The sequence below is a fragment of the Homo sapiens genome, chromosome 1, assembly GCF_000001405.40.
Source record: "Homo sapiens chromosome 1, GRCh38.p14 Primary Assembly".
NCBI lineage: Eukaryota > Metazoa > Chordata > Mammalia > Primates > Hominidae > Homo > Homo sapiens.
In genome coordinates this window covers 89553836-89575814 of record NC_000001.11, presented here as the reverse complement: position 1 = coordinate 89575814, position 21979 = coordinate 89553836, and the positions used below count along the sequence as shown (strand labels likewise).

General features: G+C 38.6%; 1 protein-coding gene across 4 annotated transcripts in view; it reads right to left on the bottom strand.

Moving 5' to 3' along the window:
• Positions 1 to 21979, bottom strand: part of LRRC8B (leucine rich repeat containing 8 VRAC subunit B) — a 73033-nt gene that overhangs the window by 22047 nt on the left and 29007 nt on the right. For 3 of the 4 annotated variants that reach the window (NM_001134476.2, NM_001369819.2, NM_001369817.2), the window contains 2 exons: positions 7508 to 7568; positions 7322 to 7376 (listed from right to left, as the gene is read on the bottom strand). The gene's annotated coding sequence lies outside the window, so the exon portion shown is untranslated. Of the gene's footprint in view, positions 1 to 7321; positions 7377 to 7507; positions 7569 to 16778; positions 17105 to 21979 lie in introns of all 4 variants that reach the window. The other variant, NM_015350.4, reaches the window with a different exon arrangement.

Genomic DNA, 21979 nt, shown 5'->3' with positions numbered 1-21979 from the left:
TCCACGGAGAGGCAGGAGTCAAGTGGATTCAGATTTTGATCCTATGATATGATAGTATCTTACATAGTTTCCAGCACATGGGGCACAATAAATATTTATGTAATAATTAAATGTACAAAAATGAAAAAGATCCCCTAACCATTCAAACTTTTAGGGTGTATTCAGGGTGATAGAGCCTTTCCTAGGAAGAGGCAAGAACTCAGCAACAATAGAGATGGAAGAGTTTTTGCTAACTGTTCTGCATATTCCAAGCCTTAATGGCTTAAGAAAAGGTTTTATTTCTTGAGATTCTGTGGGAGGTTTTTTTACTTCATAGTGTTGGCTGGCACACCTTCCAGATGGTTGGAAGGTACAAAATGTCCTCATTCCTTAGGCTGGTAGTTGGTGCTAACTGCTGGCTGGTAACTCCTTCATGTGAGACTCCATGTGGCTCTTCGAGTGTCCTCACATAGCATGGTGGGTGGGTTCTAAGACAACATTCCAAGCATAAAAGTGAAAGCTACAGCTCTTTTAAGGCATAGGCTTGAAGCTACACAGTGACACATCCACCAAAATCTACTGGCCAAAGGAGTCACAAGGCCAGTCCAGATTCAAGGGGAAGGGAAGTGGACTCTATCTTTCAATAGGAGGAGTGGCAAAGAGTCTGCAGCCATGCTTAGTCCACCACAGTCTACTCTCTGGCCAGAAATGATTTACATTCCTCTTACATGGAAAGCACACTAAACCCTTTCCCAAGCCCCCCAAAAACTTCATCCCCTTATGGCATCAAATTCAGGCTTGAAGTCCAGGATCTTGTCATCTAAATCAGTTCCAGAATGCTGTGGGACAAGACCCTTGAAATTATTAGAAGCCCTTCCGTCTAGCTGAGAGGTTCTATGAGGCACTGCCTTCAATCTTTTTGACGTTTTAACGAAGGGTCTTACAGCTATGCCTTTGCTTTTATTTTCACTTTGAGCCCAAGTTTTACTGGCAGTAATGTTCTGGATCTGATCTTTGGACCTGAGGCCACTTCTTTCTTTGAGTATCTTTTGCTGGGTAGAGGAACTGGTCTTTTGCTGGGTAGAGGAGCTGGGGATGAGAAACAGTCGGATTTACAATCTGAGAAAATTCAGGATTGGAAATACTTCCTCTAAAGTCTGCTTAAAATTAAAATAGTTTCTTCTTTAATTAGTCTCTTTCTTGAAATACTTTGATCACAGTATCAAAAAAAAAGGGGAGTTAAAAAAGGAGTTAAAGGGGTCACTCAGAGCTTCTGATATTTTGCTGGAAAATCTCCTGAGCTAGATCCACAAGTTCATTAGGTTCATTTTCTATGTTCCATGTTACTGTAGGTCATGGTCTTGCTGACTTTTTTCTCAATATAAAACAAGGGTACCATTTGACATCCTCCAATAGCAATAGTATTCTAACTGCCCTTCAGGCCTTCACTGACACCTGGTCTCAAAGCCAAAATGCCAGATTTTTGTTATGCCAGCATCTCACTTCTAGGTACCAATTTTTGTTTTGATTCTTTATTCTGTGTAACAAGTCACATCAAAACTTAGTGGCTAAAGTAACAATTCATAATTTCTCATGATTCTATGGGATGATCTGGCAGTTCACATGGTGAGGGCTGGAATGCTAGAATACTCAGAAGGCCCAAAGTGCCTCAAGTCACAACACTGGTGCTTCTACTGATTGCTGGCTGGGAGCCCAGCTTCGGCTGTCGACCAGGGGCCTTGCCAGTCCTCTATATGGCTAATTGGGCTTCCTCATAGCAAGAGACTAAGATCTAAGAGGAATGTTTCAAGCACACAAAAGCAGATGCTACAAGTCTCTTAAGGCCCAGCCTTGGAAATTACTCCACACCATTTCTGCCACATTCTATTGATCAAAAAACCTACCACAGCCAGCCAGATTCCAAGGGTGGGGATATCAACTCCACCTCTTGATAGGCAGAGTTGCTAGGCCTTAGCAGCCATGTTTAGCCCACCGTAGGAAGTCATGAACACTTAAGTGGTGGTCAGTGCCACAGAAATGAATTATCTGAGAGAAAGAATTTAGTGAGTGAAGGACAGAATTGCTGTCCCCTCTATAAAATAGATAAGGAAGGTTTATTAGATAAGGAAGATTGAAAAAGGATAGAGAAGCAGGATCAGTGAGGTAAAGGAGAAGCACAGTATTTCTGGAACACAAAAATCAGAATTCAAGGAAAGAAGCTGACATCATCATAAAATAATACACAGAAACCAAAGGAGAAGAGAGACATACAACTGCCATTCCAGAGCTTCTGACCCAAAACTGTAGTAAGATAATGGGTCTGGGAAACAATTTGATGAATACTCTAAACATTAGGAAAATCACCCTAGTCATCAGAAGCCCTTGGAGAAAGTTATTGAATAAATGAAATAAAATAAATAATTATAAATAGTAAGTAATAAATTAAATAAAAAAGTTACTGAGTGAATTAAAACCATGGAAAAATTCTAGAAATCCTAATGACATCTGAGTTGTTCTTTTTTTTTTTTTCTTTTTTTGAGACGGAGTCTTGCTCTGTGCTCAGGCTGGAGTGCAGTGGCGCGATCTTGGTTCACTGCAAGCTCCGCCTCCCAGGTTCACACCCTTCTCCTGCCTCAGCCTCCTGAGTAGCTGGGACTACAGGTGCCTGCCACCACGCCCGGCTAATTTTTTGTATTTTTAGTAGAGATGGGTTTTCACCATGTTAGCTAGGATGGTCTCGATCTCCTGACCTCGTGATCCGCCCACCTCAGCCTCCCAAAGTGCTGGGATTACAGGCGTGAACCACCGTGCCTGGCCGACATTTGAGTTATCCTAAACTTTAAGGAATATTGCTTCATTTTTACTTATTTCTGGCAGTTATAGAATACATCATATATTTAATGTAGATAATATTTTTCTCTTTAGGAAAAGATCTCTCAATTCTTTGAAGTTTTTAGTAAGCTACCATATTTTCTAAAATCTATTTAAAATAAAAGAAGTTGCAGCCATATTCTTGTAATATTAACACAAGCATAAGCCACTAGTTGCTGGATAATTCTTACAGAGAAGGTGTAAATAGAAGGCAACCTCAAATCCTTCTCCATCACCTTTTGCTGTTTATAAGACTATTTTCCTGACCACCCCCCAACACCACAGTAAGCAAGCCATAATACGTAGAACAAAACCCACTCCCTATGTAGTCCCTTCTGAATCACACTCTCACCTTTCAAATGACAGGCAGACAGCAGAGACCAAGTGGACGAAAGAATCTCAAAGTTGGAAGATGGCCTTTCTGAATGAACAAAGCCTCCAAGAAATATGGGATTATATAAAAAGACTGAATCTATAGCTGATTGGTTTACCTGAAAGAGATGGGGAGAATGGAACCAACCTGGAAAACATATTTCAGGGTATCATCCATGAAAACTTCCCCAATCTAGCTAGAGAGGCCAACATTCAAATTCAGGAAGTGCAGAGAACCTCAGTAAGATACTTCACAAGGAGATCATCCCCAAGACACATAATCAACAGATTATCTAAGGTTGAAATGAAAGACAAAATGTTAAATAGGCAGCTAGACAGAAAGGTCAGGTCGCCTACAATGAAAAGCCCTTCAGACTAATAGCGAACCTCTCAGCTGAAACCCTACCAGCCAGAAGACATTAGGGGTCAATATTCAACATTCTTAAAGAAAAGAAATTTTAACCCAGAATTTCATATCTGGCCAAATGAAGCTTCATAAGCATAGGAACACCCAGATTCATAAAGCAAGTTCTTAGAGACCTTAAAGAGACTTAGACTCCCAATCAAAAATAGTAGGAGACTTTAACACCCCACTGACAATATTAGACAGATCATTGAGACAGAAAATTGACAAAGATATTCAGGACCTAAACTCAGCACTGAATCAAATGGACCTGATAGATATCTACAGAACTATCCAACCAAAACAACAGAATATACATTCTTCTCAATGCCATTGCCACATGGTACAAACTCTAAAATTGATCACATAATTGGAAGTAAAACATTCCTTAGCAAAAAAGAAAAAAAAAAGAAAGAAAGAAAACCAGCACACAACAATAATCCCCTCTCTCACCACTCCTGTTCAACATAGTATTGAAGTCTTTGCCGGGCAATCAGGCAAGAGAAAGAAAGTGCACCCAAATAGGAAAAGAGGAAATCAAAGTATCCCTGTTTGTGATGTCGTGGTTTTATATCTAGAAAACCCCACAGTCTCAGCCCAAAAGCTTCTTAAGCTGGTAACTTCAGCAAAGTCTCCAGATACGAAATCAATGTATGAAAATCACTAGCATTCCTATACACCAACAACAGTCACGTTGAGAGCCAAATCAGGGACAAACTCCCATTTACAACTGGCACAAAAAGAATAAAATACCTAGGAATACAGATAACTAGGGAGAACTACAAACCATTGCTCAAAGAAATTGGAGATGACACAAAAGAAATGGAAAAACATTCCATGGTCATGGATAAGAAGAATCTGTATCATTAAAAATGTCCATATTGCTCAAAGCAATATATGTATAGATTCAATGCTATTCCTATTAAACTACCATTGAAATTCTTCACAGAACTAGAAAAAACTATTTTAAAACTCACATGGAACCAAAAAAAGAACCTGCACAGCCAAGGCAATGCTAAGCAAAAGGAACAAAGCTGGAGGCATCACATTGCTAAACTTCAAACTATACTACAGGGCTACAATAACCAAAAATAGCATGGTACTGGTACAAAGCGGACACATAGACCAATGGCACAGAATAGAGAACCCAGAAATAAGACTGCATACCTACAACTATCTGATCTTCAACAACACAGAAACAAGCAATGGGAAAAGGATTCCCTATTTGATAAATGGTGCTCGGATAACTGGCTAGCCATATACAGAAGATTAAAACTGGACCCCTTCCTCACACCATATACAAAAACGAACTCAAAATGGATTAAAGGCCAAATTATAAAAACCCCAAATTATAAAAACCCTGGAAGACAACCTAGGCAATACCATTCAGGACAATAAGCATGGGCAAAGATTTCATAATGAAGATGCCAAAAGCAATTGGAACAAAAGCAAAAATTGACAAATGGATCTAATTAAACTAAAGAGCTTCTGCACAGCAAAAGAAGCTATCAACAGAGTAAACAGACAACCTACAGAATGCGAAAAAAATTTTGCAAACTATGCATCTGACTAAGGTCTAATATCCAGCATCTTAAGGAACTTAAACAAATTTACAAGAAAAAACAACCCCATAAAAAAGTGGGCAAAGGACATGAACAGACATTACTCAAAAGAAGACATACACATGGCCAAGAAGCATATGAAAAAATGATCAGCATCACTGATCATTAGAGAAATGCAAATCAAAACCACAATGAGACACCATCTCACACCAGCCAGAAAGGATACTATTAAAAAGTCAAAAAAGAGATGCTGGCGAGGTTGTGGAGAAAAAGGAATGCTTATACACTGTTGGTGAGAGTGTAAATTAGTTCAACCATTGTAGAAGACAATGTGGCAATACCTCAAAGACCTAAAGACAGAAACGCCATTCAACCCAGCCATCGCATTACTGGGCACATACCCAAAGGCATATAAATCATTTTATTATAAAGGCACATGCATGTGTATATTCATTGCAGCATTATTCACAATAGCAAAGACATGGAATCAACCTAAATGCCCATCAGTGATAGACTGGATAAAGAAAATGTGGTACATATACACCATGGAATACCATGCAGCCATAAAAAAGAATGGTATCATGTCCTTTGAAGGGACATGGATGGAGCTAGAGGCCATTATCCTTAGCAAACTAATGCAGGAACAGAAAACCAAATGTTCTGCAAGCCACATGTTCTTACTTATAAGTAGGGGCTAAATGATGAGAACACATGGACACATAGAGGGTAACAACACATACTGGGGCCTATCAAAGGGTGGAGGGTGGGAGAAGAAAGAGGACCAGGGAAAATAACTAATGGGAACTCAGCTTAATCCCTGGTTGATAAAATAATATGTACCACAAACCCCCATGACACAAATATACCTATGTAGCAAACTTGCACATGTACCTCCGAACTTAAAAGTTAAAAAAAAGATAAAGAAAAACATAGAAAATATGATACGTATACACCATGGAATACTACATAGCCATAAAAAATAATGAAATCATGTTCTTTGCAGCAACCTGGATGAAGCTGGAGGCCCTTAGCCTATGTGAGCTAAAGCGGAAACAGAAAACTAAATACATTTTTTCACTTATAAGTGGGAGCAAAGCATTGGGTACACATAGATATAAAGATGGGAACAACAGACACTGGGGACTCCAAAAGCAGAAAGGAAGGGAGGGAGGCAAGGGCTGAAAGTTTTCCTATTGTACACTATGCTCACTACCTGGGTGACAGGATCATCCTTACTCCCAACATCAGTGTCATGCAATATACCCTTATAACAAATCTGATCATGTATATCCAAATCTAAAATAAAAGTTGAAATTATAAAATTAAAAAAAATTTATAGTTAACTCAAAGAGTCAGAATGGAAATGTGAATATACCTAAGAAGTCAAAGGATCTTCACCTTCATCTGTAAAAAAAGGATGTTTAGAATGTAGTAGGTGACAGACCCCCTGTCTTCACCACTGATTCACCTAGACTATATGTTCAGAGCTGGGTGACACTTTTAAGCTGTATTCAGAACATCAGAGAGTTGTGCTATTTAATACAGTGTACAAATTCTTCATTCATTGTGTCAAAGCTAAAAGCACTGCTACAATCTAACTTAAAATTAATCTTCTGCAATTACAAAAGAAGAATGATGTTTGCAGAAAGCAACAGAGTATAGGGCTTGTTTATTTCTGGCTTGCCTACTCAAAGAAAGTATGGCCATCTTTTACTTAATAGAAGTATGCAAACCAAATCTATGGTAGCATTAAAACCAAATCCATGGTAGCATTAAAAATCCTACCTTAAACAAAAATCAGAAAAATACAGACATGGACTCCAAGTCTGCCATGGCCATTTATTATATTCCTTAGATTTTACTGTTAAAAAATGACAAATATCATATACACATATATTTTCCTGCATACAAAATCCACAAAAAGTAGGAAGATGACATTTTTACTAAAAGGTATACAGATGTAATTTTCTGTTTATTAACTAGTTTAAAAACCTCAGAAAGATTTTACTCAAAACATCTGTAAGAACAGTAATCTCTTTTACATACTAAGTATTCAGTATTTATTTGCCCCAAGCTACCAACTTAATTGTAATTATCTTTACCATGTGTTTACAATTCAGGATGTTAATCTTACCCTATGAATGCTGGTCAACTGGAACCTCTGCAATTAGTCTCAATTTGAAAAATTCCTAAGGAGAAATCACAAGCATATTATTATATTTTACGCATCATAGGACTGCAAGATAATTTATCCACTGATATGGTTCTAAAATTTCCAACATATGTAATAATTTTATGAAACATACAAAAGATAACTTACTTAAAAAGAAAGCATTAAAGAGATCACCTTCTGACTTCTCACAGAAGAGGTTAACTATTACCTAGGGAGAGAAACAAATCACTGTCACAAACTACACATTTTACTTCATCACAACAGTAGCTTATAAGGCACAAAACATAAACATTGAATTTTTAATGGAGAATAAGATAGCATTATATATGAGTACCACTGATTTTACAAATGTAAGACGGAAAAACAAACTGAAAGTATCTATGCTTCTTAAATAGGGGAAACGTGAAAGACTTAACATTTGGGACAGTTTTCTTTGTCCAGTTTTTAATTTTTGCTGACCTACTCGTTTTATACAATTATGCCATTGTAAAATTCAATGGCACAATACTGAGACCTTTTTTTGCCACTTATATATCACAGGCTTTTTTGATACTGCTATGAAGTTTCTTTAAGCATCATTTTTGATGGAAACATATAGTTCACACATGGATATGTCCTAGTTTATGAAGTCATTCCCCTACTAAATTTTCAATTTTCCTTTTTTTATTACTAATAATGTTGTAAACATCTCAGTACTCTTCATATGTTTTTTTTGCATATACTTCAAAAATGAAGGAATTAGGTCAAAAGAGCATAAACATTTTGAGCCCTCTGATATACAGCATCAAATTATTTCTCAGAAAGTTTATACCAATTTTCTTTCCTGTCAACAATGTATGAGTAGCACCTCACCAGATTTAAAAATCATTATTTAAAAAAATTGCTAATCCATATGTGAAAAATGATCTTATTGTTGCTTTATTTGGCATTTCTTTGAGTTGAATTGAACATTTTTCAGCATATTTACTAATGCATTTCATTCCTCTCTCCTATTTAACATTTACCTAAACCAGAGGAGTATTTTGCTGAGAAGATATAAATGACAGCTCTCTCATAATGACAATTTGTCATCTTAGGGTGAAGCCACTGCTGTCAAGTAAAGTAAATAACAAAATATAGCGGAGTTTCTTTATTCAGGATAAAACCAAATCATTCAAACCAATTTTAGAAACTGTAACTAAACTTATCACCTTTCTTCCTCCTTAGCAAAACATAAAAGTACCAAGTTGGAAGAATGAAATGAGAAATACTAAATGACAATGCTTCTTAGAATAGCATAAATAGTCCATATTAGGCAGGATAAAAAGAGGACAAAGATTGTTAAAGCAATTCTGACCGACCCAGCTGCTGAGGCAGGCGGCCTGCGTCAGCACGTCCACCAGTTTGCTATGCTAATGAGTGTTACACAACTAGCTAATCTACCCCTTCAAAAACATTCTCTCTCCAGAGGAAGGACACAAGACGGGTGTATTTTAACTTAAAAAGTCAATTCCAAGATAACCTAAAAATAAAAGGGTATTCTGGAAGATTTGGAGATAAGTGTAACACTGAGAATTCTCTTCTTTCTCAAATAAGAGCTTCCTCCTGAAAGGAAGGCTCCCAACCAAGGACATATAAGGAACGGCTCCCAAGTGACTGAGGATTAAGGAACAACACAGCAGCAATCAGCTTTCTGATAGAAAAACAAAAAGCCCCAAAGGATCTTACTCTTGATGTTCTTGTTTCTTTCTTGTCAGGAGAGATGGTGGATTTGACAAAACAAACTTTTTTGTAGTGCACAAAGAACTATTATACAATTTTGGAATTTGAGCCTGGTTTTCCATTTGGGTATATTTGTCTTGTAGGGATAGTTAAATCTTAGGAAAGATCTAGCAAGATATCAAGAATCTCTGGTCAAAGGACTTGAACTGGGTTAAAGGCATAGTCACTGGGATCTTGTTTGGCAGGACAGCTATGGCAGGAATCACTGGAATATCATACTCATTCACCCTGCCTCGGGCAATTGTATAAGTTTAAGGCTTTACTATGTAAAATTAAAGTCTCCCATTTCATCAGTTTGAAAAATTCAAAATCATAAATAACAGATGGATTTAAAAAAAGAACATCCCACTGCATCATCTGTCCCATTCTGGATCAAGTGGAATCACCTCTATGAGCCATCCAGACCAGCACAGGCTGAATTTGTTGCTCCTTCATCTGCGTTCCAGGAAGTCATTTACTAATATTTCTTTTACATTGTTTATTAATATATGTGAAGCTATTGCCTGCGATTCTTTGAGGGCTGGGGCAGTATCTCATTTATTGGCATCCCAGGATGTATCCCAATGTCTCTTTCATGGGTTAGCTTAAGGTCCTATATATTATAGCAGCTACTACGTATGGATTCATCAATGGGGTATTTAGATCTCTGGAAACTTAACTAGATTAAACAAAAATAGTACCTACTGAACCTTTCTCAAGGATGGTATTGAATGTGGATGGAAGAAAATATCATGAGTCTATTTCCTTCGGGTCAGAAACTGGCAAAAGGCGGACCCAGAGGGCTCTTTTGCTACTCTTTTTCGATACAGTGCTTCACTACTCCACTTAAAAACACGGCGAACAAATATTTAGTGAATACCAGTGTGAAGTGGCATCAAATCCTTAGCCTGCCCAGAGCTCAGAGTGATCGGTGATGAGCCCACTCCCGTGTCAGTCTTGTCCCTCTCTGTGCCATGAATATTTAGTAAATCATTGTTGAGTAAATGAAGGACAGCAGATCAGGTTTCACCACCCATTTAGGAACCAAGGGTACAGAGGAGAAGGCCTGGCTTTCAGAAAGATCTGTGAACACCACTGGTGCAAACACATGGTGGGTATGGAAGGGTGGCAAAGCAAATGACAGCGACAGAGCCTCAGGCATTTCCATCACCCCATGGCAGGGGCAGAAATTCAGAAGCAGAGGCTAAGTCTTCATCCTTCAGGGAGAAAGGAGAAAAATTTATATTTGCCAACTTACTCACCAAATGGGATGTTTTACAAATCTGAATGGGGAACTGCTGTCAAATTCAGCATGACTGGTGCATTATAATGACTGAGAGTCATTTTGAATCAGTGTTGGACACTGGATAAATGCCACAGCATTCCAAAATGACCTTAATATCTTATCAAATTATGATTTCACAATCATTCCCTTTTCCACAAGTTAACCTTAGTATAATGCAACAAGAACTATACTGGTACCAATGGGATTATCAAGGTATCATCCAAACAAGCATGCTGCACATCAAACCATTCTGTGCCCACTTGTCCTGAACTCTGGAGGGCAAAGACCTTTCTAGTCTCCTGAGAGCCTACCACATATTAGGTGCTTCATAAATGTTCTAATTCCACAATGCTGTGAGCTATGATTGAGCTGACAATATTGCACGTCCTTAGATAGCTTTAGTCTCATAAAACCAATAACGTCTGATAATGATCACCGTAAATAATGCTACATCTGCTATAACACACTCTTAACCCAAAGACAAAATCAAATTGTCATGCACTGCAAATCAGCCTAGTGCTTGAGCTAATTTCTGACCACCAAATACAAACATTTAATGTTCAGTATTTAAGTGACTATTAAACACAAAAGATGTTTAAAACAAACACTGCTACCCTACTTGTCCCCCTAAACAAGTAGTTAGTCCTTCATGCTTCTTTAGCATTTAGGGAATACTGATAGTTCTATTATGCTTCCATTAAACTGTATCACCAATATCTGATTTGATGCCTTCCTGCCTCAGCCTTTGAGCTCTCAGAAGAGTCGGGTGTGCAGGAAGAACCTGACACTAACAGTCTCAATAATTATCTGTTGAATGGAAAGGAGTGATAGAGTTAGGGGAAGGATAACACTTACTGTGTACCTGGTGAAGTAGATATTATTAGCCAACTCTAAACGTGAAAAAGTTGAGGTTCAGAGAAACAAACTTGCTCAAGTTCATAAGCAGACCCAGCATTCACAACAGAGCTGACTAAGAGCCATCTGCTACACAGCCTCTCCAAGGAGCTATATAAAAAGGAGTTTTATATAGAATGTGACAGCTCTCTCCTTTTTTCAAAGCTACAATCTATCTTTTAGAAAAACTAAAAGAGACAATTTAAAAATGAGATCTATTTTGTTTTCCTAGCTCATTGCTCAGTATTCCATCTAGTGAAACAGAACCAACAAGTGCTTCCTCCACCCTGGCTGCCTATTAAATAATTAAAGTCGACATGATAGATAGCCAGAGCAAGGGTACATCCTGCTTGCACAGCCTCTTATGAAGAAACATTTACCAACAATTTAATAACAAGATGAATAACTCAAGTTTAATCTGTAGTTAAATAACAGTGTTTTACATGGCTTTTCTTCCAGACATACCGATTACAATGTGGTTAAAATAAATCAAAACCATATTACCCATATATGACCTTCTTTTTGAAAGACTTTAAAAAGGAGTATCACATGTTTTCAATGTGTTACTTTGTTAGGCCTAGTTCTTATCCTAAAACTGATGAAAATGTGAGAGACTTGGAAGGGAAGGAAGCAGAATAGTTAAGATTGAGTTTTGACTTTGTTGTTTACCATCTGCTTGATCTTAGATAAGCTGAGTATCCCTTTTCTCATCTGTAAAATAGGGATAATAACCATAATAATGGTTTCAACCTAATGGAGTTGTTTTAAGAATTAATTGAGACAACTACAATTCAAATGCTTAGCACAGCAGCAGGTACAATGTAAGCACTAAACATGATTATTTATTAACATAGTAGTAACTTTATCTAAAATTAATCCTTTAAAGGTTGCCTTTAAAGTATGATCCTATAAACAAATACCAGATTACATATTAGGAGGTTTGGTTTTCCACCTAAGTTGTGATTTCCATGCCAGTTCTCACCATATATCACAAGACTCATTACTAGAAAGTGTCGTGAAAAGAAATGTAACTTTCCTTAATAATTTATTGTGTGGCCCATAAGGAAGGCAAAGTGTTGTGAAGCCTTTAATATACCTTGATGCAATGTTTTTAAAAAGTTAACCTGTGCCGGTAACCTCTACTTTTTGATGCAATGTCTATAATCCCAGTCAAGATTTATGCTGCAGACAGGTCTGATATGACTGTCACCCAAGCAGAGGGTCACGACTTAAAATCTATAATCATGGTTGTACAACAATATAAATGAACTTAATGCCACAGAATTAAAAATAGTTAAAATACTTAAAAAAGGAAAAATTACTTAAAATAGTTTAAAAAGTAAATTTTGTTACATATATATATATAAAACCACAAAAAATCTATACTCATGTAAAACAGGAAAACTGTTCTTATTGCTTTAAAATGAATATAAATGAGTTACACAAATTAAATATATTGTTGGTCTCAATATACTAGAAAACATACCAACACAAAAAATATAATTTTAATGTGTTGAATTTGCTTTGTTCATAATTCATAGGTTACCATAATAACTACTAAATATTTAATTATCAATTTTGTTTGTTACTTTGAATTCTTCCATCCTGCCTGCCTGCTAAATACTTAAGGTTGACATGCTAGATAGCCAGAGGAAGGGTACATCCTTCCCTGGGTGGGAAAACATCCTGATTTGGGTGGGAGAGAGAATGTGATCCCCCAAATTTGTCTAGAAAATGTTTAGGTCTTCTTTACTAAATAGCAATATGGTCAGGCAAGGTGGCTCATGCCTGTAATCCCAGCACTTTAGGAGCTCAAGATGGGAAGATACTTGAGCCCAGGAGTTTGAGACTAGCTTGGGCAACAAGGCAAGATCATGTCTCTACAACAAATTTAAAAATTAGCTGGGCATAGTGGCGCCTGCCTGTACTCCCAGCTACTCAGGGGGATGAGACAGGACTGCTTGAGTTCAGGAGGTCGAGGCTGCAGTGAGCCGAGACTGCACACCACTGAGCTCCAGCCTGGGTGACAGAGTGAGACCAAGTCTCGGAAAGAAAAAAAAAAGGATAAATAGCAATATATGAAGTTAAGAAATTTAAAAAATCTTCTGGTGACTATCAAGGTAACTGAATATGGGAGATTTTTTTTCCTAAAATAACAATTGAAGCTCCCACATGTTTACAAAATTCACTAATAATTTAATGGATATGCAAAGTATTTGATCCTCCTGTTAATCTTCTGTTAAGAGGTCAATCCACCAGAAGGCATCAAGGACGGCAATAATAGGGTAGGTAAAGGCAGGGAAGAAAAGGAAAAGATAAGAAAGTGGGAGGATGGGTGGTGGTAATGCAGAGGGTGTGTGTGTGTGTGTGTGTGTGTGTGTGTGTTTTGGGAGGTGGTTATAAGACAGTAATAGCAATCCTTGGCCTTAGTGATAGCAGACACACTTACTGGGTGCCTATGTGAAATAAATAGATCAATCCATCCATCCATCCACATATCCCTGAGACTTTCGTAATAAACTCATTTTTGCATGATTGCCTTGTTACTTCCATAGTCTCTGGATATGTGGGGTCGAACTGCTCACCTAAAGCACGAGTGGATAAAGGCATATAAAAGGAGACAAACATATTAAAAGATAAAGTTCATATGGAACCAAAAAAGAGCCCGCATTGCCAAGTCAATCCTAAGCCAAAAGAACAAAGCTGGAGGAATCACACTACCTGACTTCAAACTATACTACAAGGCTACAGTAACCAAAACAGCATGGTACTGGTACCAAAACAGAGATATAGATCAATGGAACAGAACAGAGCCCTCAGAAATAACGCCGCATACCTACAACTATCTGATCTTTGACAAACCTGAGAAAAACAAGCAATGGGGAAAGGATTCCCTATTTAATAAATGGTGCTGGGAAAACTGGCTAGCCATATGTAGGAAGCTGAAACTGGATCCCTTCCTTACACCTTATACAAAAATCAATTCAAGATGGATTAAAGATTTAAACGTTAGACCTAAAACCATAAAAACCCTAGAAGAAAACCTAGGCATTACCATTCAGGACATAGGCATGGGCAAGGACTTCATGTCTAAAACACCAAAAGCAATGGCAACAAAAGACAAAATTGACAAATGGGATCTAATTAAACTAAAGAGCTTCTGCACAGCAAAAGAAACTACCATCAGAGTGAACAGGCAACCTACAACATGGGAGAAAATTTTCGCAACCTACTCATCTGACAAAGGGCTAATATCCAGAATCTACAGTGAACTCAAACAAATTTACAAGAAAAAAACAAACAACCCCATCAAAAAGTGGGCGAAGGACATGAACAGACACTTCTCAAAAGAAGACCTTTATGCAGCCAAAAAACACATGAAAAAATGCTCATCATCACTGGCCATCAGAGAAATGCAAATCAAAACCACTATGAGATACCATCTCACACCAGTTAGAATGGCGATCATTAAAAAGTCAGGAAACAACAGGTGCTGGAGAGGATGTGGAGAAATAGGAACACTTTTACACTGTTGGTGGGACTGTAAACTAGTTCAACCATTGTGGAAGTCAGTGTGGCGATTCCTCAGGGATCTAGAACTAGAATTACCATTTGACCCAGCCATCCCATTACTGGGTATATACTCAAATGACTATAAATCATGCTGCTATAAAGACACATGCACACGTATGTTTATTGCGGCATTATTCACAATAGCAAAGACTTGGAACCAAGCCAAATGTCCAACAATGATAGACTGGATTAAGAAAATGTGGCACATATACACCATGGAATACTATGCAGCCATAAAAAATGATGAGTTCATGTCCTTTGTAGGGACATGGATGAAATTGGAAATCATCATTCTCAGTAAACTATCGCAAGATCAAAAAACCAAACACCACATATTCTCACTCATAGGTGGGAATTGAACAATGAGATCACATGGACACAGGAAGGGGAATATCACACTCTGGGGACTGTGGTGGGGTGGGGGAAGGGGGGAGGGATAGCATTGGGAGATATACCTAATGCTAGATGACGAGTTAGTGGGTGCAGCACACCAGCATGGCACATGTATACATATGTAACTAACCTGCACAATGTGCACATTTACCCTAAAACTTAAAGTATTAAAAAAAAAAAGATATACCAAATGAGATAGATATATTAAAGCCTTATATATGAGTTAATAATAGAGAAACAGCTGCTCTGCCTCTGCACAGAACTATATTGGTGGATGAGGGGAATGTAGTAATGTGATTAGATGTTCAAATCAAGGAAAGTAACCATTACTGAGATATAGGGAAGGATCAACACTACAAGGCAGCATGACCTGATCAAATGAATACCCAACTAGGTGTTAGGAAACCCACGTTCTACTCCTCACTTTACATCTTACTGACGGCATAATGTTGGCCTTGTCATCTCACGTAATCTAATTTTCCTTACATGTAATGTTAGAGAGAACAAATGATTGATAGAGTCTCTACTTCCAGTTTCCCACAATGCTATGAGTTTATTAACTGTGATTGGAGCTAGGGAATATCTAGTCTGAAAGACTCCTCTGGAGTGGTGAGGATTGAGAAGGGGTTTAAAAGTTAGAACACCAGGAAAAACAATGGTGTAGGTTTCCTTAGAAAAGGAGTACAATGTCTACAATTGTCAACTCATAAACTGGTCTCTTTGAAAAAGCGACTAAAAATTGGTTATAGCAAGAAAAGGTCATCAAGCCAAGCATATAATGGAAGTATTAATTTTTAAAATTTATTTATATGTTTACAAATAAGTAGGATGCTTCACCATGTGGCTTGCTATGGACACTCACTCTGCCTCACATATACACAAAAATGTGTGTGGGTGTGTGTATGTGTGTACATATATGTGTGTGTGTGTGTGTGTGTGTATATATATATATATTTTTTTTTTTTTGAGACAGGGTCTCACTCTGTCATTTAGCTGAGTGCAGTGTTGCGGTCATGGCTCAATGCACCCCACCTTAGCCTCCCGAGTAGCTGGGACTACAGGCACACGCCACCATACCCAGCTATTTTTTAATTTTTTTGTAGAGACAGAGTCTCACAATGTTGCTGAAACTCCTGGACACAAGCAATTGTCCCACCTCGGCCTCCCAAAGTGCTGGGATTACAGGCATGAGCCACCGCACCCGGCAGGAAGTACTAATTTTAACTGAAGATAAAAAGGTATTAGGACCATGGAAGGTTCCTAATACTAGCTTATCCCTTAAGCATTGGGGTTCAGTCTTGGGCCTGTAGCTTCTCTACTCACACATATGCTATGCTCGGGTGACATCCTGAGCATTATGCTTAAGGTTTCATCCGCCACCTCTGTGTATATGGTGAGCCCAGCTCCCTAACCCCAAGCTGCAGAATCATCTCCCCAACATCTTCCTGGCTATATACCGAGATGTGTGGAAGCAACTCAAACAGCATGTCCCAAACTGCATCTACCGTTTCCTCCCACACCTAGATATCATACCTGTCCTTCCTTGATCCCCGAATCTCAGGTTGATAGCAACATCAAGGGCTAAGGCATTGACTGCTATGGTTTGGATGTTTGTGTCCTCTTCAGAATTCATGTTGAAGCTTAATCCTCAGTGCAACAATATTAAGAAATGGAGCATTTAGGAGGTGATTAGGCTATGAGGACTCTGCCCTCAATGATGGGATTTAGTGCCTTATAAAAGGGCTTGAAGGGGTAAGTTCTCTCCTTCCGTCCCTGTTGCTTTTCTACTCCTACACCATGTTCAACGTCCAGAAATCAAATCTGTAGTATCTTGATCTTGGACCTTCCAGTCTCCAGAGCTGTGAGGAATACATTTACGTTACTTATAAATTACCCAGTTTTAGGTGTTTTGTTACAGCAGCACAAACAGACTAAGGCAGGCACCTAACCCAGAAACTTTCTCTTCCTCTATTCCCTCAAATCCAATGGTCTCTTAAACTAGCCCCTTCTACAATCTTGCTACCACTGTCTTGGATGGGGCCCATGTCATCTTTGGGCTGGACGACTCTGAAATTGCCTCCTTTCTTGCCCTCCTTAGTCCCATTTCCATACTGCAGTCAGAGAGCTCTTTCTAAAACATGTCACCTCTTGACTTGTTGCTTTGTTATTATAAAGACAAAGTGATGTCTCAGGGAGGGTTGGGGAGGCTTGCCAATGGGAAGTGAGGGGAAAGAGTGGTGATCTCCAGCTTCTCTTGCTTTCTGTTTTATTGGCTCTTGCTGTTTCCTTCCCAGGAGTGCTAAGTTTGACCCCAAAATGCAGGGCAGACTGGATTATGAATTCTGTGATCACAGTGATCACTGATCACTTGACAACAGTGCAAACATGACAACAGGATGCTTCACCCTGTGACTCGCTGTGGGCACTCACTCAGCCTCACAGTTAGCTATGGCCACCTCTTGCTTTATCATGCTGCCTGTCTCATGGATTCCAATCAGTTTGGAACCCTGCTGTGATGGCAAGGGATTTTTTTTTAAGTCTCTGGCTTTATTTCTATCTATACTTCACTGGTGTCTATGCTTACAGATACTAGGCATTTTTACAGAAGTTTTCTTGACTTACTGGTCAGCAGCAGTCACTGCTGTGAGAGTCAACCCTGCACATGTTAGAGTAATTGCTCTACTTGCTGATCTGTTACTGTGTAAATGTTCTAGAGCTGTTTTAGGTAAGTATAAATTTCCTAATTTCAATGTTCCCCAAGCCGTAGCAGGGGAACACACAACATAAAAACACATAAATAAAAATTAGGAAAAACATATAAATAAAAATTAGGAAACTTTTATGTATCTGCTGCTGACTGAGTACAGTCTCATTTTGTTTCTCCGCTCCTCGCACTAGTGAGAGTGAGAAGCAGGGGCTGGTTTTCCATGGCAGCAGTGTGGAAAATGAACACTGGACTGAGTCCCAGGCCTGCCTCCACCATCATCTGCATGGGCTTAAATCACTCACTAAATACAGGCCTCCATCTCCTCAGCTTTAAAATACAGATAATCACACTGGCTCAAGAATTGATATTAGTGGTAAAATAAATATCATGGAAGCACTCTGAAATCATTGCAGTAGCAAACAGATGCAAAAGAGAACTCTTATAAAGAAACCTAATTCTTTTACTAGCAAAGTGATTTAAAAAGAGGATGCTTTTGGCCTTGGGATGGTATCTTTGAAAAAAACAACCCAGGAAGTGAGCTTTATTTATGCCACTGTGGTTCCAGGGAAACAAAATAGCAAGTGTTGCAAAGACATTGACATTTCATCATATTTGGGTCCTACTGTGAAGTCAAAAAGAACGCTTCAAAAAAGGCATTGAGGCCCAGGGGTTCAGAAGAACTATGTGGCCCAAACATAGAATGTCACTCATTTGTTTCACTGTGACAAAACAACCATCTCAGTAGAAAATTCTTCTCCAAATCTGCCTTGCAATAATGGAATGATAATGGATCCCTTAATGTCTGTCAACTGGGGATTTGGAAAAAGACAAAAACAGAATGCGCACAATCTCTGGCTCACTGTGCCAATGGAGTGCACACGCCTAACTGCCCAACCCAGAGAAGGCTTTTTAAAAGATTCCAGTCAGCCAACACTGCTTATCTGTTCCAGCTCCTATTTTCCATGGAGGAAGGTGTGGGGAATGAAGCATTGGGCAAGAGCATTCAGAAAGAAACCAGTCTGTTTTGAAAGAGCAAGCTCTTATGTCACTTATGATTCAGGTAAAATGTCCATTTTTACCTTGGTGTTAAATTAATGCTTCATATTTGTAACTTGGTTAATGGCTGCTGGTAGTCAAAATCACTGGTTGCCATTTGCTCCTCAGCTGGAGAGGGAGAATGTCTGGTTTACATTTAGGGTAAATGCAGAGTGAGATGTCTTTTTTTCTGATATCACTCCCTGTAACACCAACTGGGTGTCCTAAAATTCAATCCTATTCTGACATTAACTACTCAGAGTTAGCATCAGACTCCACAGGTTTAAGGGCTCCATTCTACAAGACTGCCTCTGCTTCAAACTCAATCACAAGTCCCAGGAATCCAGGCTGCCTGTACTTCTGTTTGACTTGACTATAAATTTGGGGGTTCCCATAACGCTCTCTTCAAATTTGATAATTTACTAGAGTAACTCATAGAACTCAGGAAAACACTTTACTTACCTTTATTGATTTATTATAAAGGATACAACTCAGGAACAGCCAAATGGAAGAGATGTAAAAGGCAAGGTATTTGAGGGCAGTGGGAGGATGGAGCTTCTCTGCTCTTTCCAACCTCACCACCCTCCCAGCACTTCGATGTGTTCACCAACCTGGAAGCTACCTGAACTCCATTGTTTAGGGGTTTTTATGAAAATTTCATTATGTAGGCATCATTGATTAAATAACATTGGCCGTTAGTGACTGAAAATCTCCAGTCCCTCTCCCCTTTCCAGAAGTTGATGGTGGGCGTAAAAGTTCCAATGCTGGAATCACATGGTTAGATCCTCTGGTGACCAGGCCCCATCCTGAAGCTACCCAGGTGCCTACAGTGAGTTACCACATTAGAACAAACTTAGGTATGGTTAACAGGGGCTCGCTATGAATAACAAAGGACACTCTTATCAGGAATGGGGCTCTGTGATGTGACATGGGGGCAAAGGCCAAATATGACTTTATTACACACATAACATGATGCTGTATAAGAAAAGTCTCACAGGAGAGCGAATTCTTATTCCAACTGGCTGATGCAATTTCAAACAGTGCCAGATAGTTCACTTAAAAGGTCAAGCTTGCTTTCAAGGCCAAAACAAGGCAGTCGTTTAAGTCACTGATGCCCTGAGTCAATGACTAAGAAAGTTATTTCCTAAGGGACACCTCCTTGACATGATGACAGGTCACTTCACAACATGCTCCTGTAGTTCTCTATCCCTTCCATTCATAACATTTATCACAAACCTATAAGTAATTGTTTGATTAAAGGTTTATTTCTCTCTGAGGTCTGGTCTACATGTATCATGCTTATCAATGCACCCCAGGGCTTAGCTTGTAGAAGCTGCTACTAAATATTAATTGAACAGATACAAGAGTTTTAATTAGACCTCCTTGTTTGGAAGCAAAAACTGCAAAAATATCTTACAATCTTCATACCTTCTTACCTTCAATTTACATCCCAAATTCTACATGACATGAAAGGCTTCCTGAATCCTTTAGCAGAGACTAAAGACTCCATTTGAGCCCCATCAGCAGAGAAGACGAATTTAGCTCAGCCATAGCATTCAGAATAAGTTAGGGCAGCTCTGGGCACTCTGAAGTGATAGAGTAAGGTTCTTCTAAAATAACGCACAAATAACTAATATGAATCACATAGAATGCCTACATTCCAAAAAAGGTGACAGGTCATTTCTCCACATTAGGCTGGCTTCGGGCTTCATAACTCAGCAGGATTCTGCAGCTTCACTTGGTCTTAGCAAAGAGGAGAAACATGGGCCCTCTGGAAACAGAGTTTCAATGGTTTTCCAGGAGACAAAAGATATACTCCCCATCTGGAAGTTTGACACATGACTTCTAAATCAGGGTGGGGCTCTGTCATAGCTGAGTGACAAAATCAGCTGCACAACACACAGAGTCTCTAAGTTTCTCCTTTATACACAGCAGATGAATCTATGGTTATTTCTTAGCAACCAAATTTGAAGGGCAAAAAGACTGTGCCAAGAAAACTACAAGTGTAGTTTTTTTCCTGTCTTTTCTCTCTCATCCATGCACAAAAAATAATATTTACCTATTTATATTTGACAATACCATCTGTTTTTATTGTGTGGAGAGTCTTATCCATTTAAGGAAGGCAACAACTTTGTGACTCTCAGTTGAAGAAAGGTAGAAATGAAGAAGGCCTTATGTAACACCAACTTGTGTCACCAACAGCAAGTGGAAATATTACATCTTGCACATGCTCTGACACTAGGTGTACTCGACAATCATGATGAAGTTTCTGCTGGGTGCAAAGAACTGGCCCAGGTAATGAAGGCAATCGAAAGGTGTCACACTCAGACCTAAATCTCAAAAGGAGCTTATGCATTGGTGAAAGAAGGCATAAGTACAAGAAAGATCAAACAAATGAATTATACAGTTACATCTTAAAGTAATACATGCTAGAAGAACAATAGTCACTGTACAGGGTTTATGAGTTGGACCAAGAAAGATGCGTAAGATTTATATAGTTAGGGGGTGAAGGAATAAGGGGTAAAAGGGGTTGGTTAATAACAGGGCACATAATATTTTATGTGGAGGAATGGAACAACAAATAAAGAAGGCAAAAGAAAGCCAAGGTCAATTTAATGAATTAGTGAGCAGATGCATAGATGGAGTGGAATTTATGAGACAGAAATGATGGGGCTAAGAGTAGAAAGGTGATTAGGATCAAATGCTAATTAAGTCTCAAATTCCACACTAAAAAATTTTCAAGATTTAACTCAGGCCCAGAACATAACAGGCACCTGAGAAATTATTGCTTTAGGGGGTAAATATGTCACTTTTAGAATATTCAAATCTTTTTACAAGGAGAGAGGAATTTAGGCTTGATATAAGCAGTAGGAAGTCACTGGTGGTATCTGAGCAAGGGAATGACAGAAAAATACATTTAGGGACATACTATTATATATCAAGAAAATTAATTTGAAAGCATCAGAAAGAATTCATTGGAGAGAGTTCAAGA